The sequence below is a fragment of the Homo sapiens genome, chromosome 11 (assembly GCF_000001405.40).
Source record: "Homo sapiens chromosome 11, GRCh38.p14 Primary Assembly".
NCBI classification, from domain to species: domain Eukaryota; kingdom Metazoa; phylum Chordata; class Mammalia; order Primates; family Hominidae; genus Homo; species Homo sapiens.
In genome coordinates this window covers 91,103,208-91,117,455 of record NC_000011.10, presented here as the reverse complement: position 1 = coordinate 91,117,455, position 14,248 = coordinate 91,103,208, and the positions used below count along the sequence as shown (strand labels likewise).

The 14,248-nt window shown below is 34.6% G+C and overlaps 2 pseudogenes, besides 1 other annotated feature; one reads left to right on the top strand and one right to left on the bottom strand.

Moving 5' to 3' along the window:
- Positions 909-1,505, bottom strand: OSBPL9P3 (oxysterol binding protein like 9 pseudogene 3; annotated as a pseudogene).
- OSBPL9P2 (oxysterol binding protein like 9 pseudogene 2) lies at positions 1,454-3,580 on the top strand (annotated as a pseudogene).
- Positions 13,832-14,033: a silencer, noted in NCBI's record as "fragment chr11:90836591-90836792 (GRCh37/hg19 assembly coordinates)". NCBI's record gives its function as "represses an EF-1alpha promoter that drives an FKBP-Casp9 reporter gene in an ReSE screen in K562 erythroleukemia cells {active_cell/tissue: K562}" and the evidence as "EXISTENCE:reporter gene assay evidence [ECO:0000049][PMID:32094911]".

Here is a 14,248-nt window from a genome sequence, read left to right as displayed (position 1 = left end):
TTGGTTAAGACTATCAGCTACTGCTCAATCTGTGCATAATATGAAGAGAAAAACTTTAATACTGTTACTTCCATGCAACACTAACATAAACAATTGATTATTTTACTTTCATTTAACTTCCTCTACAACTGTTCCAGCCTTCTGTGATCCAGTCATGCCAGCTCTGCATATCATCTGTTTACATGTATCTGATCAAAATATTATTTTTCAGAAATCATTTCCTGGGCATGATTTCTAATATAAGCACTGTGTGGTCTGTGTCTTCTGAAATAAATGGTTGAGGACATTGGCAAGCTTTTGCTGTCAATCTTACAGCTGAAAAAAGATTGGTAAGCTCACCAAAATTTGCACTATAGCTGAGGTAGACTGATTCCATACAATAGGTGGAAGAAAAGTAGCATCAGGTCCAATTGGTTGAGTGTCAAATTTAAGTCCAGGACTTACTTGTTAGGTTTCTGCTTTGATGCTGTCTAACACTGTCAGTAGAGTCTTGAAGCCTGTTACTATTATTTTGTGGCTGTCTAGTTCTCCAGAACAATCAGGCAAGATAAATAAATAAAAGATATCCAAATATGAAAAGTCAAACTATCTCTTTTCGCCGGTGATATGATTCTATACTATATCTAGAAAATCCTAAAAACTCTGCAGAAATGCTTCTAGAACTAATAAACATATTCAGCAAAGTTTCAGGATACAAAACCAATGTACAAAATGAGTTGAATTGCTATATACCAATAATATTCTAGCTAAGAGCCAAATGAAGAACACAGCCCTATTTACAATAGAGAGAAAAAAAAAATGAAGTACTTAGAAATACAGCTAACCAAGGAGGTTAAAGATCGCTACAAGGAGATCTACAAAATTCCACTGAAAGAAATTAAAAAAAGATACAAATGTAAGAAGAAACACCCAAGCTCCTGTGTATCAGGACTGAGGCAGATCCAGAAGAATCTATCCAGTGCTTTGGGGATAAGCCAGTTTGATGGAATTCATCGGCATCATAAAATTCATCTTCACTAGCGGAGTAAGAGAACTCTGGGACTGTATTTGGAGACAAGTTCACATGGCTTGGAGAAGTTAGACTGCTATTCGGTGGTGAATGGCCACTGCCTGTACTATTTGGTGTAAGAGTCTTATGCTGTCCCAAGGTAGCCAACACAGGTCCAACTGGTAGGGAAGATGGATGCTGCTGTTTTGACTTACACAACTGAACAGGTTCTGGAAGTAACAATCTGGGAAGGCGTGCTGATCACAGGTTCCAAAGGACTAGGTTGATAGATTGCATCTACAGGATTAATAGTACTTATTCCATCTGCGTGCTTTTCTGCATTACCCTTTAGCAATGTGCAGCAACACAATGCAGTGTTTAGCTGATTCTACTATGCTATTTGTTGTTTCTTTGAGAGTTTCCATTTTCTTTCTCTGTTCATCTTCTTTGTAGTTTTGAAGCTTGTCATCAAAAGACTTTAATTGTTCAATCAAGATTTGTAGGTAATTACATCAGCAGCAGCTCAGGAAATAGTCTAAAACATCCAGATACTAGAGAATCACTTAATTCTTCCATGTCCAATGGAACAAGTGATGCTGACCTTTTTGATTCATATGACAGTAGAGATGATGATGTGTAGGCGGGGTCCGCAGGGAGCACAAGAGCGTTATCATGCATCTCTTGTCACAGGTTAGGCTTGGGATGGATCTTACTAAGGTAGTTCTTCCAAGGTTTATTCTTGAAAGAACATCTCTTTTAGAAATGTAGGCAGACTTTTTGCACACTGGGACCTGTTTGTGTCCATTAGTGACTAGAAGGATCACAAGGATAGAATGGTTCTGGTTGTGAAATCATACCTCTCAGCCTTTCATGCAAGAAGGAAAGGGTCAGTTGCCAAAAAGCCATACAGTCCCATTTTGGGCAAGATTTTTCAGTGTCACTGGACACTACCAAATGATACTGAAGAGAACACAAAACTAGTTTCAGAAAGACCAGTTCCCTGGGTTTCCAAAAATACTGTAACATTCGTGGCTGACCAGATTTCCCATCATCCACCCATTTCAGCCTTTTATGTTGAGTATTTTAACAAGAAGATACAATTCACTGCTCATGTCTGGGCCAAATCAAAATTCCTTGGGATGTCAATTGGTGTTCACAACATAGGGCAGGGCTGTGTCTCATGTCTAGACTATGATGAACATTACATTCTCACATTCCTCAATGGCTATGGAAGGTCTATCCTCACATGGTCCTGGGTGAAATTAGGTGGAGAATGTTGTATTAATTGTTCCAAACAGGCTAGAGTGCAAATATCATCTTCCATACTAAACCCTTCTATGTGGGCAAGAAGCACAAAATTACTGCTGAGATTTTTTTCTCCAAGTGACAAGAAGTCTTTTTGCTCAACTGAAGGGGAATGGAATGGTTTGATGTATGCAAAATATGCAACATGGGAAAATACATCCTTTGCAGATACCAAGAAGTTGCCTGTAATCAAGAAGAAAGTGATGAAGCTAGAAGATCAGAACAAGTAAGAATCCCGCAGCCTTTGGAAGGATGTCACTTTCAACTTAAAAATCAGCAACTGAAGCAAAGCACAGGCTTGAATAAAAGAGCAGAACCCCAAGAAAGGAAAGAGGGAAAGAGAAAGAAATTCAGTGGGAGACAAGGTTATTTCATAAAGATGGAGAATATTGGGTTTATGATGAACCATTACTGAAATATCTTGGTGCTGCCAAGCATTAAGTTTGAAGATGCAAAGTATATACCTGATGATCAGGGCAGTAGACATAATTCAGCAACAAACAATCTTCCTTTGGGAGAAACCTGTTCACTACCTTCTTATTAGAGTGGTTCCTATCTCAGGGATACTGGACTTTTGGACTCAGATGAACAATTAAAGTGCAAAAAACTTCCCTTTTCCCTCTGTGGCAGTTATGATTTTGACTTCAGTCCTGAGAAAAACTTCAGGTTTTGAAAACGAGATGTCTGCTCCTTTTCCAAACCCCACACGTTGAAAATCATTTATAAATCCAAACCTGAAACTCTTTACTCTAGTACTGCTATTAAGATATACAACCTGTTTCTTAGTACATATAATCTTGAGATACGTACATGCACACACACACACACACACACATATATATACACACCACATACACACACGTGTATATATGTATATATATGTGCATATATATGTGCGTGTATATATATGTGTGTGTATGTGTATATATATATGTGTGTATATATATATAATATATATGTGTGTGTATATATATATATAATATATATATGTGTGTATATATATATAATATATATATGTGTGTATATATATATAATATATATATGTGTGTATATATATAATATATATATATGTGTGTATATATATATATTATATATATACACACACACACACACCTGGTGCCAGATTTTTTCATAAATACTCTGCCTAATGTAAATATGGGTTCCTCTGAGTTGTTTTAGAAAATTACCGTAATGTATTAAAATCAAGTGTTAGGAAATGTCATGGTCTTACCTATAATAACTTTTATTTTAGAATTGGACTATTATTAGACTCTATCTAATCCTGGAAAAAAAGGAACAGCCCATACTCATAGATCAGAAGAATAAAAGTTGTTAAAATGGCCATACAGTCCAAAAGCAATTTATAGATTCAATGCTATTTCTATGAAACTGCCAACATCATTCTTCATTGAATTAGAAAAAAAAAAATTATAAAATTCCTATGGAACAAAAAATAGCCCAAATAGCCAAAGCAATTCTAAACAAAAAGAACAAAGCCAGGGGTAGGCATCACATTACCTGACTTCAAATTATACTGGAAGTCTACAGTAACCAAAACAGCTGGGTACTGGTACAAAAACATTGGCATAGACCAATGGAACAAAATAGAGAACCCAGACATAAAGCCACATACCTTCAACCATCTTATCTTTGACAAAGTTGACAAAATTAACCAATGGGTAAGAATTCCATATTCAATCAATTGTGCTGGGATAACTGGCTAATGCAGAAAGATAAAACTAGACCCTTACCTTTCATGGTTTACAGAAATTAACTTGAGATGGATTAAAGATTTAAATGTAAGATTTCAAACTATAAAATTCTGGAAGAAAACCAAGAAAATACCCTTCTTGACATCAGCCTTGGCTAATGTCAAGAATTCCTAAGAAGTTATGGCTAAGTCCCCAAAAACAATTGCCACAAAAACAAAATTGACAAGTGGGACCTAAGTAAACTAAAGAGCTTCTGCAAAACAAAACAAAACAAAAATCAATAGAGTAAACAGACAACCTACAGGGTGGGAGATAATATTTGCAAACAGTACATCTGACAAAGGTCTAATATTCAGAATCTATAAGGAACTTAAACAATTCTGCAAGTATAAAACAAATTACCTCTTTAAAAAATGGTCAAAGGTCATAAATAGATACTTCTCAAAAGAAGACATACAAGCATCCAACAAATATATGAAAAAAATGCTCATAAACACTAATCATCAGAGAAATGCAAATAAAAACCACAATGGGATGTCATCTCACACCAGTCAGAATGGCTATTATTAAAAAGTCAAAAAACAACAGATGCTGGCGAGGCTGCAGAGAAAAGGAAATGCTTATTTACTGTTGATGGGAATGCAAATTAGTTCAGCCACTTTAGAAAGCAACTTGAAGATTTCTCAAAATACTTAAAACGGAACCACCATTCAACCCAGCCATCCCATTAGTAGATATATATGCAAAGGAAAATAAGTTAGTCTACCAAAAAGACAACATGTACTCAGATGCACTATTCAGGATAGCAAAGACATAGAATCAACCTAGGTGTGTGTCAATGGTAGGCTGAATTTAAAATGGTATATATACACCATGGAATACCATGCAGCCATAAAAAAGTGGAATCATGTCCTTTGCAGCAACATGGATGCAGCTGGAGGCCATTATCTCAAGTGAAATAACGCAGTAACAGAAAACCAAATACTGCATGTTCTCACTTATAAGTGGGAGCTAAACACTGAGTACATTTGGATATTCAGATAAGAAAAATAGACACTGGGGGACTACCGGATGTGGGAAGAAAGAAAAGGTGTGTGGGCTGAAAAACTACCTGTTATGTATTATGGTCACTACTTGGGCTATGGGATCATCTGAATCCCAAACCTCAGCATCACACAATATATCCATGCAACAAACCTGCATATGTACCCTCTGAATCGAAAATAAAAGTTGAAATGTTTTTAACAATTAATTTCTTAAAACATGAAATAAGGAGTAGAATCAGCCAGTAGGGTTTATGCGGCACCACCCAGCATCAGCCGACACATTGACACCTGAAAAATGATGACCCTTGATGTGAATATCTATCCCAGGACCTAAGATTCTCTTTCTCTCCTGTTCATTATCACCTGTTGAGCTTTTGCTTTTCAACAGCTATTACTGATCCCAATCATTGTCTTCCTCTATAGGCTTTATTTAAGGGAAAAATATATTTGAGTTACAATAATTTTCATAGAATAGACAACTCACATTATATTGTTGCAACAGATATGGCTAGGAGATGAAAAATGTCCAAACAGTAGAGGGTTTCAAATGCAGTTTGGACACTTTGCCTGCTAGGGGAGGGAAAGTGTTGGGATGTGATGGAAGAATTTTGAGCAGGGGATGGTGATGTGATTAGGTTTATGCATCAGAAAAGCTAATCTGAAATTATATGCAGGCCATATCACACATGATAAAAACTGGAGGCAGGAACACTAGCGAGGAAGCTAGTCCAGACAAATGAGAGGCAATGAGTGCAGAAATTAGGACAATGGAAGGGAGACTGACATTTCTGAGGGCTGACTGGAACATATGCTCTGTATATCTGTCAATAAACTCTTAAATTTGAGATACTCTCCATCCCCAAACAACAAAGTTCAAAAAATTAAAAGCTCCTTCATCTCCATCCCCAAGGTACTCATTATTCCCATCGCTGGCATCATCTCCTTCACTTTTCTCAACTCATCAGTCACTCACTCCTGTTGATTTTATTTCCCAAACACTTCTTAAATCCTTTAACCATTCTGTTTATATTGCCTATGGAGAAGAAGAAGGAAACATTATTTAGTGAGCATAGTTAACCAGATAACATGATCCAGTCCTACCCACAGTGATTAAATTAATTTTAAATGATCTTTGGTGAGCCACTTAATCTTGCTGCATTTTCCCCCTTATCTGTCAAGAATATAATAATCATATAAACCCAATATAAACTATGAAAATCAATATTTTACATTTGGCAACTTTATATTTTTATACTTTCACAGAATCTGGAGACTATTTCAGTAGTTTTCAACTTTAGCTTATGTTGGAATCATTTGAAGGGCTTAAAATACATTTTCAGGTACCATCACCCCAAGAGTTTCTGGAGTGGGCTTTAGAATTTGCATTTCCAACATGTTTTCAGTGTTGACAGTCATGCTGCTCATCTAGAGACCACACTTTAAGAGCATTGACTTATTTGAGTTCCCCTTGAAAACTAAAATGGACTTAAAGTGAGTTTGATTTTATTCTAGTTCCAACACTAACTAAGCAAGAGTATCACCATAGGTATATTCTTTGACTTTATAAGCTATAGTTTTCTAACCTGTAATGAAGTAATTGAGTCTCCAAAGCCTATATTTGTTGCTATGTCCCTATTATGCTTCTGAAGTATGCACATATCTTGCATCTTTATGAAGTATGCAAATAAAATAAAAAGATCATTGTTTCTGAAGGAAAATGTAAGAACCTTTAGTTTGGGTATAAAGATCATTGTAACATTGGTGAAGAAATTATTGTATTTAAGTCTACCTCTCTTAAATTCTCTATTCAGGTGATTCCTGTACCCAGAAATTCTTTCACTTTATCCTGCTTAAGCAATGTTTTAGAGTTTTGGAATATTAATAAATGTTCATAATAAGAAATAATGGAGTGGAGCTGAAATTTAGAAAAATAGTGAAGTGGAGCTGAAATTTAAAATTTTGGTACAAAATTTTAAAAATTTTAAAAATTTTGTGCCAAAATCACAGTAATTCCTTGTGACTTGAGGCGTGTAAGGCTGGCTAATAGTAGTGTAGTAGCAGAGTAAGATGGATCAACAGATGCATTTCCTATCTTATTTCAGTGACTCTTGGCTTGAAAACTTCAAGTTTTCCTTTGACTCTGCTCGAATGTATCCCAAATAGGCTAAGGCATTATGCAATGTAAAGGGAAATACCCAACATAGATCGGTGCATTTGAGAATCACTTAGCTTAAGCTGTTTTTGACTGAGTGCAGTAGCTCTAGAATGAAATTTCACTGGTCAATTTCTCTGCCACTATCCAGTGAAGTGTTATCTGCTTCTATTTTCTCAACTAACTAATGTAATAACACATGAATGATCTTTAGGAAATGGCCGTTGGTGTCAGAAACTTGGAAATTGAAAGGATTATGATTTATAATATAATTAAGAAGTTAATTCTAGATGGCACATTTTCCCTTTCACTTATGTTTAATGTACACATGGGATGTAGTACAAAAAAGTATCTCATGATATGTTCTGAAGGATGCAAGTGACACTAAGCTTTTCCTGTCACTCCAATCGAAGAATGGTCATGTTCCAAATTTAACAAATGATAAATTTGAAATGTTTTAATTGATATAATGGTCCCAATAATACATTTTTGTTAAATATTTGGAGCATGCTCCTGCCTACCTACATTAGAATCTGTCATACAAAGATATTCATTTAAACTCAAATATATTTTATCTCTTATTTTAGAGTCAAATAGGGTTAGGTCTAATATGTGTCATAATATTCCACTCATGGTATATTATTTCTCTAAGTGCTCTGTTGCTTGAACATGTCTAAAACCACTATATTTTAAAGATAAAGAAGGGTAAAAATTGACTATTAAAATTTCACGAACAATTGAATTAATGAACTTAGTTCAGAAAGTATGAAAATCATTATTTCCTTCTGTGTCTGGTATAGTTGTCTCTTGAGTTTTGTATCAGGGAAAAAAAATCAAGCTGTTAATGAAATTGGAACTTCAAGAGCATTGTTTCTAACATACAGTAGGGTGAAAATAAAGGTTGATTTCCTTTCCAATGGCAGTGGTGGTGACTGCGTATACTGGATTCAAGAGATATTTGAAAATAATAGATACAATGAAGTAAGCAACAGATTTAACTTCAGAGTGAGGGAGAGGAATCAGTCTATAAGGACTCCCAGATGTCTAGCTTAAGCCAACAACCACAACAACAACAAAAAAGAAGTTTGGATGGTTAATTTTTTGTGTCAACTTGATTGGGCCATGGAATGCCGAGATACTTAGTCAAACTTTATTCTAAGTGTTTCTGTGAGGGTGTTTTTGATGAGCTTGATATTTGAATGGATTGAGTAAAGTAGGTTGCCCTCCCTAATGAGTGTGGACCTCATCCAGTCAGTTGAACATCTGAATAAAACAAATAGGCTAAATAAGAAGGAATTACTTCTGCTTGACTACTTTGAACTAGGACAGTGATCTTTCCTTGCCTTCTGATTCAAACTGAAAAATTTGGCTCATCTTGGGTCTCAAGCTTGCAGACATTCATACGGGAACTACCTTCTCTTGGATCTCCAGCTTACAGATCTTGGAAATTCTCAGCCTTCACAGTTGCATTAGCCAATGTCTTATAACAAATCTATTTCTCATTCTTTCTCTCTCTCTCTCTCTCTCCATATATATATATATATATATATATATACACACACACACACACACACACACACACACTTGTTTATATAATGAAAGTTTTATATATATATATATATATATATATATACACACACATATAATGAAAGTTGTTTATATACACACATATAGTGATGTGCTTCATAACAACTTTCAGTCAGTGATGAGCTGCACATATGATGGTGGTCCCACAAGATTATAGTACCATATTTTTACTCTACCTTTTCTATGTTTAGATATGTTCAAACGCACAAATACTTACCATTGTGTGACAATGGACTACAGTATTCAGTACAGTGACATACTGTATGTGTTTGTAGCTTAGGAGTAATAGGCTATCCCATATAGTCTGGATGTATAGTAGGCTATACCATCTAGGTTTGTGTAAGTGCACTCTATGATGTCTATACAAAAAAAATTACTTAATTACGCATTTTTCAGAATATATCCTCACTGTTAAACAATATATATACACACACATCTGTACACACACGTGTGTATATATATATATATATAGATATACACACATATACATGTATACAGAGTATATATATGTGTGTGTGTATATATATGTATGTATATGTATATATATATATATACACACCCATACACTTATTGGCTCTCTTGAGAACATACACTTATTGGCTCTCTTGAGAACCCTGACTAATACAGTTAGTTTCAGTATATTCCTATGACAAAAGTAGAAGAAAGTGGCAATCATTCCCTCTCCCATAAATTCTGCCCTTTCCTTACTCTATATTTTTATTTTCAAAGAAAGATATTGTCAATGTGATAGCTTGAAGCTCAAGACATTAATTGGGTCAAACAGGTAATGGATGATGTTATTGTGACTTAAATGTTGACCGAGTGCAGGGCTCTAACATTTTCCAAGAGGTAAGCAGTTCAAGACAAGAGCTTTTCTTTTACTTATACCATCTCCTTTCTTGCAATTGGTTGGATGGACTTAAGACTTGATCTGCAGTTTGTGAGGAGAGTGTGAGATGGTGAGCTGGAGGAACAGGAAGCCCTGCTGAGCTCCAAGTTACATTTTTAATTCCTCAATTATAAATCTCTACATAGGGGGCTATTGACTGCCAGTTTTAACTATTAATAATGCAGTCACTTTTTTCTTACTTGGCCACACTTACTTGCCTTAGGGAGAAAGTTATATTAACTCCCTACTTGAGGAAACTCACATGGAGAAAATGTGAGTGTTAAGTCCGAATCTGTATATTTCTGAACCTTTAGGGTAATACCATAACAACCTCATGTCTACATTTAAACATAGCTGTTAAGTTACTCAGACACCTTTGAAATTGCTCAAAATAAAGATTTGAAGAGAAAGAAATATCAATATAATAATCAAACAGAACTAGAAGGTTAGAACTGGTTTGACTCTCACCCAATACTAGCTATGCATCTTAAGATTCTCTGGGACTCTACCTCCTCATTTGTAAATTTAAAAAAATAGATAATATGCATCATATAAATAACTACAATGAGTCTTTTCAATAGCCTCCTGCCTATTCAATTCCATTTCTATATTCAATTTAACTTGTTTGTTTTTTACTTCATATCTGGATTTAAGTTTGTAAAACATAAGTCTGATTACCTTACTTTCCCACTGAAGAAAAGGTTTACTGTATTCCCCTTACTCTTAGGAACATATAAACATGACAAACTGATATTTTTGAGGCTCTCCCCAACTTTGACTCATCTGATTCATTTAGTTTTATCATCTCGCTCAGACTTTCGTATCTACATAAAAACCAAATTATTTATTATTCTATGAATGCCCTACACTTAATTCTGCATTTTTGAAAAAAAAATCTACTGGGAATTTGAAAAAAAAATCATTCTACTGTGAATGTTCTTCATCATTGCTGAAATCCTCTAAGACCCAGCTGATAGATCATCATCTTTGCCATGCCTTCCCCAGTAAACTCAGCTGGAGGTCACTGCTCTCTCCTGCAGAACTATTTTACTTTTTCCAAGTACATAAAATAATTTATAAGTGTTTTTGACTTCCCATTAGATTTTTAGCTTCAATGAAGGCAGCAGACCTCCACAGGGACAAATACATTGTCTTGTATGTGGGAAGTGCTCAATGAATGCTGAGGTGAGGTAAACAGTGAATCCATATATACATTCTTTTAAATAAAGATCATTTTATTATTAACATTACTTACAACATTTATGTAGAAAATTATATACTGCTCACATATATCTGTTTTCTTTTTATCAATCCTCTGAACAGCATTGCTAATTTATGTTCCTAGTAGACTAATTAGTGTAGAGCAGACCTACTTTGAGTACCCTGAAATAAGTACAGAATGTTTTATATGAGAAGTATGCAAAATATAGCAATGCAAAAATATACACATCTATGAATAATGTGAGTATATATACATATACATATATATTACATTTTTGACTCTCTTTTCTGAGCTATGAATTGCTAAAAACAATAATCATGAAAGGGCACCATCTGCTATACAAAGGATGGAATGCTACAAAATTTTGAACAGAAATCATATGTAGACTTTAAATTAATTCCACTATTTACTAGGTATGTACATTCATGGAATAGGAAACATAGTTTACTAGCTCTGTACAGGCCACATAACAATATTTGGACAACAATGGACCATATATATAACAGTGTATTATGAAATTGTAATTTTTTTTTTACTATACCTTTTCTATGTTTAGATATGCTTAGATACACAGATACTACTGTGTTACAGTTACCTCCAGTATTCAGTACAGTAACATGCTGCACAGGTCTATAGCCTAGGAGCCATAGGCTATACCATATAGCCTTGGTGTGTAGTAGGCTATACTACCTAGGTTTGTGTAAGTTCATTCTGTGATGTTTGCACAATGACAAAATCATCTAATGGTACATTTCTCAGGACATTTCCCTGTCGTTAAGTGGCACATGACTCTACTTAAGAAAGTTACTTAAATTATTCTTAGCTCTAGTTCCATCAACTGTAAAATGAGAATGTTAACATTGATCTCATAAGATAGATATGACAGCTATCTCTCTCTCTCTCTCTCTCTCTCTCTTTCTCTCTCTCACACACACACATACACACCACACCACACATATTTTCAGCCCTGTATCTGGTAAATCATATATGATAAATAATGATTACTTATTATATTAATAAGAACAATGATTAGTATTTTACACTTAGCATAGAATGAGGGTTGGAATTTTTAATGATTTTTTGGAACCCATTCTTCAAACAAATAATTTTGCAGTACTTTAATTACTAACTTATCTATCTTATAAATTCTAGTTATGTATGGATTTTCTTAAACTTTTAAAACCATCTCCTGTAAATAACAGTAAACATATTTACAAAGATCTGAACTTATATCAAAACCAGTCCTGTAAAGTTCTAAGACTGTGTTATTTTTCCTCTAACACAAAATAGTAACAATTACTTTTCTTAAACTATTTCCTGCCTTCTCTAATTTAAATTGGAGACCACAAATAAGTGGACACTTCATATCAGCTTATTTCATTCTTTGTGGCCAGGAAACATCTCAGGTATTTACCTGGTGAGCCATAGCAGCTGTTATTGTACTTAAGATAAAATTCTTATAACACAATAATATTGAAATTAACTTAACATATATGGTATGCTGATATAGTTTAAAAATATCTCTGATGATAGTGTCATGATTTTTCTAAAGAAAGGGTAAATCCCCTTCCCTTTCCCAATAAATATTACCAATACGCACATGAGGATTCCAGTTGAGTCTTACGAGAGCATTTTATTAGACAAAGCCCCTGCATTCAAGGATTTAAAGTTAGAGAAGTTGAAGTTAAAATTGCTATAAATTGAAATTGTTTTAAGCCTCTTATTTGTTATTTTGTTACATATATTATATATATGTTAAATATATATTATATTTGTTACGCAGTAATAGAAAACTAATATAGATAAGTTTTAGGTTTCTTTACTCTGTAGTCACTATGCCTTCCTCAACTTTAATTAGTTTTTCTGTCTGTCCATCTGCATTAAAACAAACAGAAACACACTAATTTAAATATTTGCTCGTAGTGCAATTATTTTTAAATCACTGATCTTTGTCCTTGGCTTTCTACAGATCTGTTCCTTCATAGTCATATAATCAGATCCAGTATCTCATAATTTTTTTTTTATGGAGAGAAAAAAATGTGCTTACAGTGTAAATGTATTTAATGTTGCAAGATTTTGTTCATAGCAGCACAATGAGTCACTATCTTCAGGCAACCGTCTGCCTTAGTAGATAAATTCCAAATGTAATGACCTTCTCTTGGGCCTCATCCTCATCAATATTATGAGGCATTTGGCTCTGCCAACATGCTCACTAGATTTTATGGAATATCAACTCTGCCTGTGCTTCAAGCCTTATATCTTTTCTTCCTCTGATTTTGTGGCCATTTCTTACCCATTAAAATGTTTTTGAAAATCAGTGTTTCTCTATTTGCTTTCTTGCTTTGCTTTTGCTATATGTTTTGATTCACGGGTTTTATCTATTTATTTCAACTATCACCTCTTTGCAGCACCTAACACAGGACCTGGCAGGCAGCAAGACCTTTATACACACGTGCAATTTAGTAACTAACAACACCTAACTTTATAGTTCTAATCCTTGTTCTTCTTAAAACCGTTGGAGCTAATTTCCCAACTACCAATCAGACATATTCACTTTGAACTAGGGTTGCCAGAAAAAATACAGGACTTGTTAAATATAAACATTTGATAAATATTGCACAGGATGTACTTATACTAAAAAATACTCATTGTTTATCTGAAATTCAAATTAAATTGGATATCATGTATTTTTATTTGCTAAATTGGAAATTCTGGTTTGATGCGCACTGAAATCTTAAAGTCAAGATGTGCAAAACAAATTTATGCTATCCTACTCAAAGCAGCACCTGTGATGCCCTTCTTTGTTGGATTTATTTAGCCACTAGGCCTGGTTCCTTAGGGTCAAGAAGTAGTATACGCTGAATAATTTATTAAGCACAGTTTCTAGACCCCTAATTCATATTGTCCAGGGCTACCTCTGAGTTCTATCACTTATTAGCTGCATAGTCTAGAGCAACATACTACATTTGTCAAGCGGTCTGTTTCTTGGTCCATTTTGTGTTGCTATAACAGAATACCCAAGACTGGGTGACTAATAAAGAAAAGAAGCTTACGTGACTTATGATGCTGGGGACTGGAAAGTCCAAGAGCATGGTATTGGCAACTGCTCAACTTCTGATGAAGGCCCATACTGTGTCACAACATGACAGAGAAGCAGAAAGGTGAGCAAATGTATGCAAAGAAACACACACTATAAACTGGGTACACTTTATAGCGATCAACTCTCATGACAACTAATTCATTCCCATGAGAACAAGAACTCAATAGACATGGCATAGATCTATTCTTGAGGGATCCAACCCCATAACCAGACACCTCCTACTAGGCCCCAGCTTCCAACATTTGTG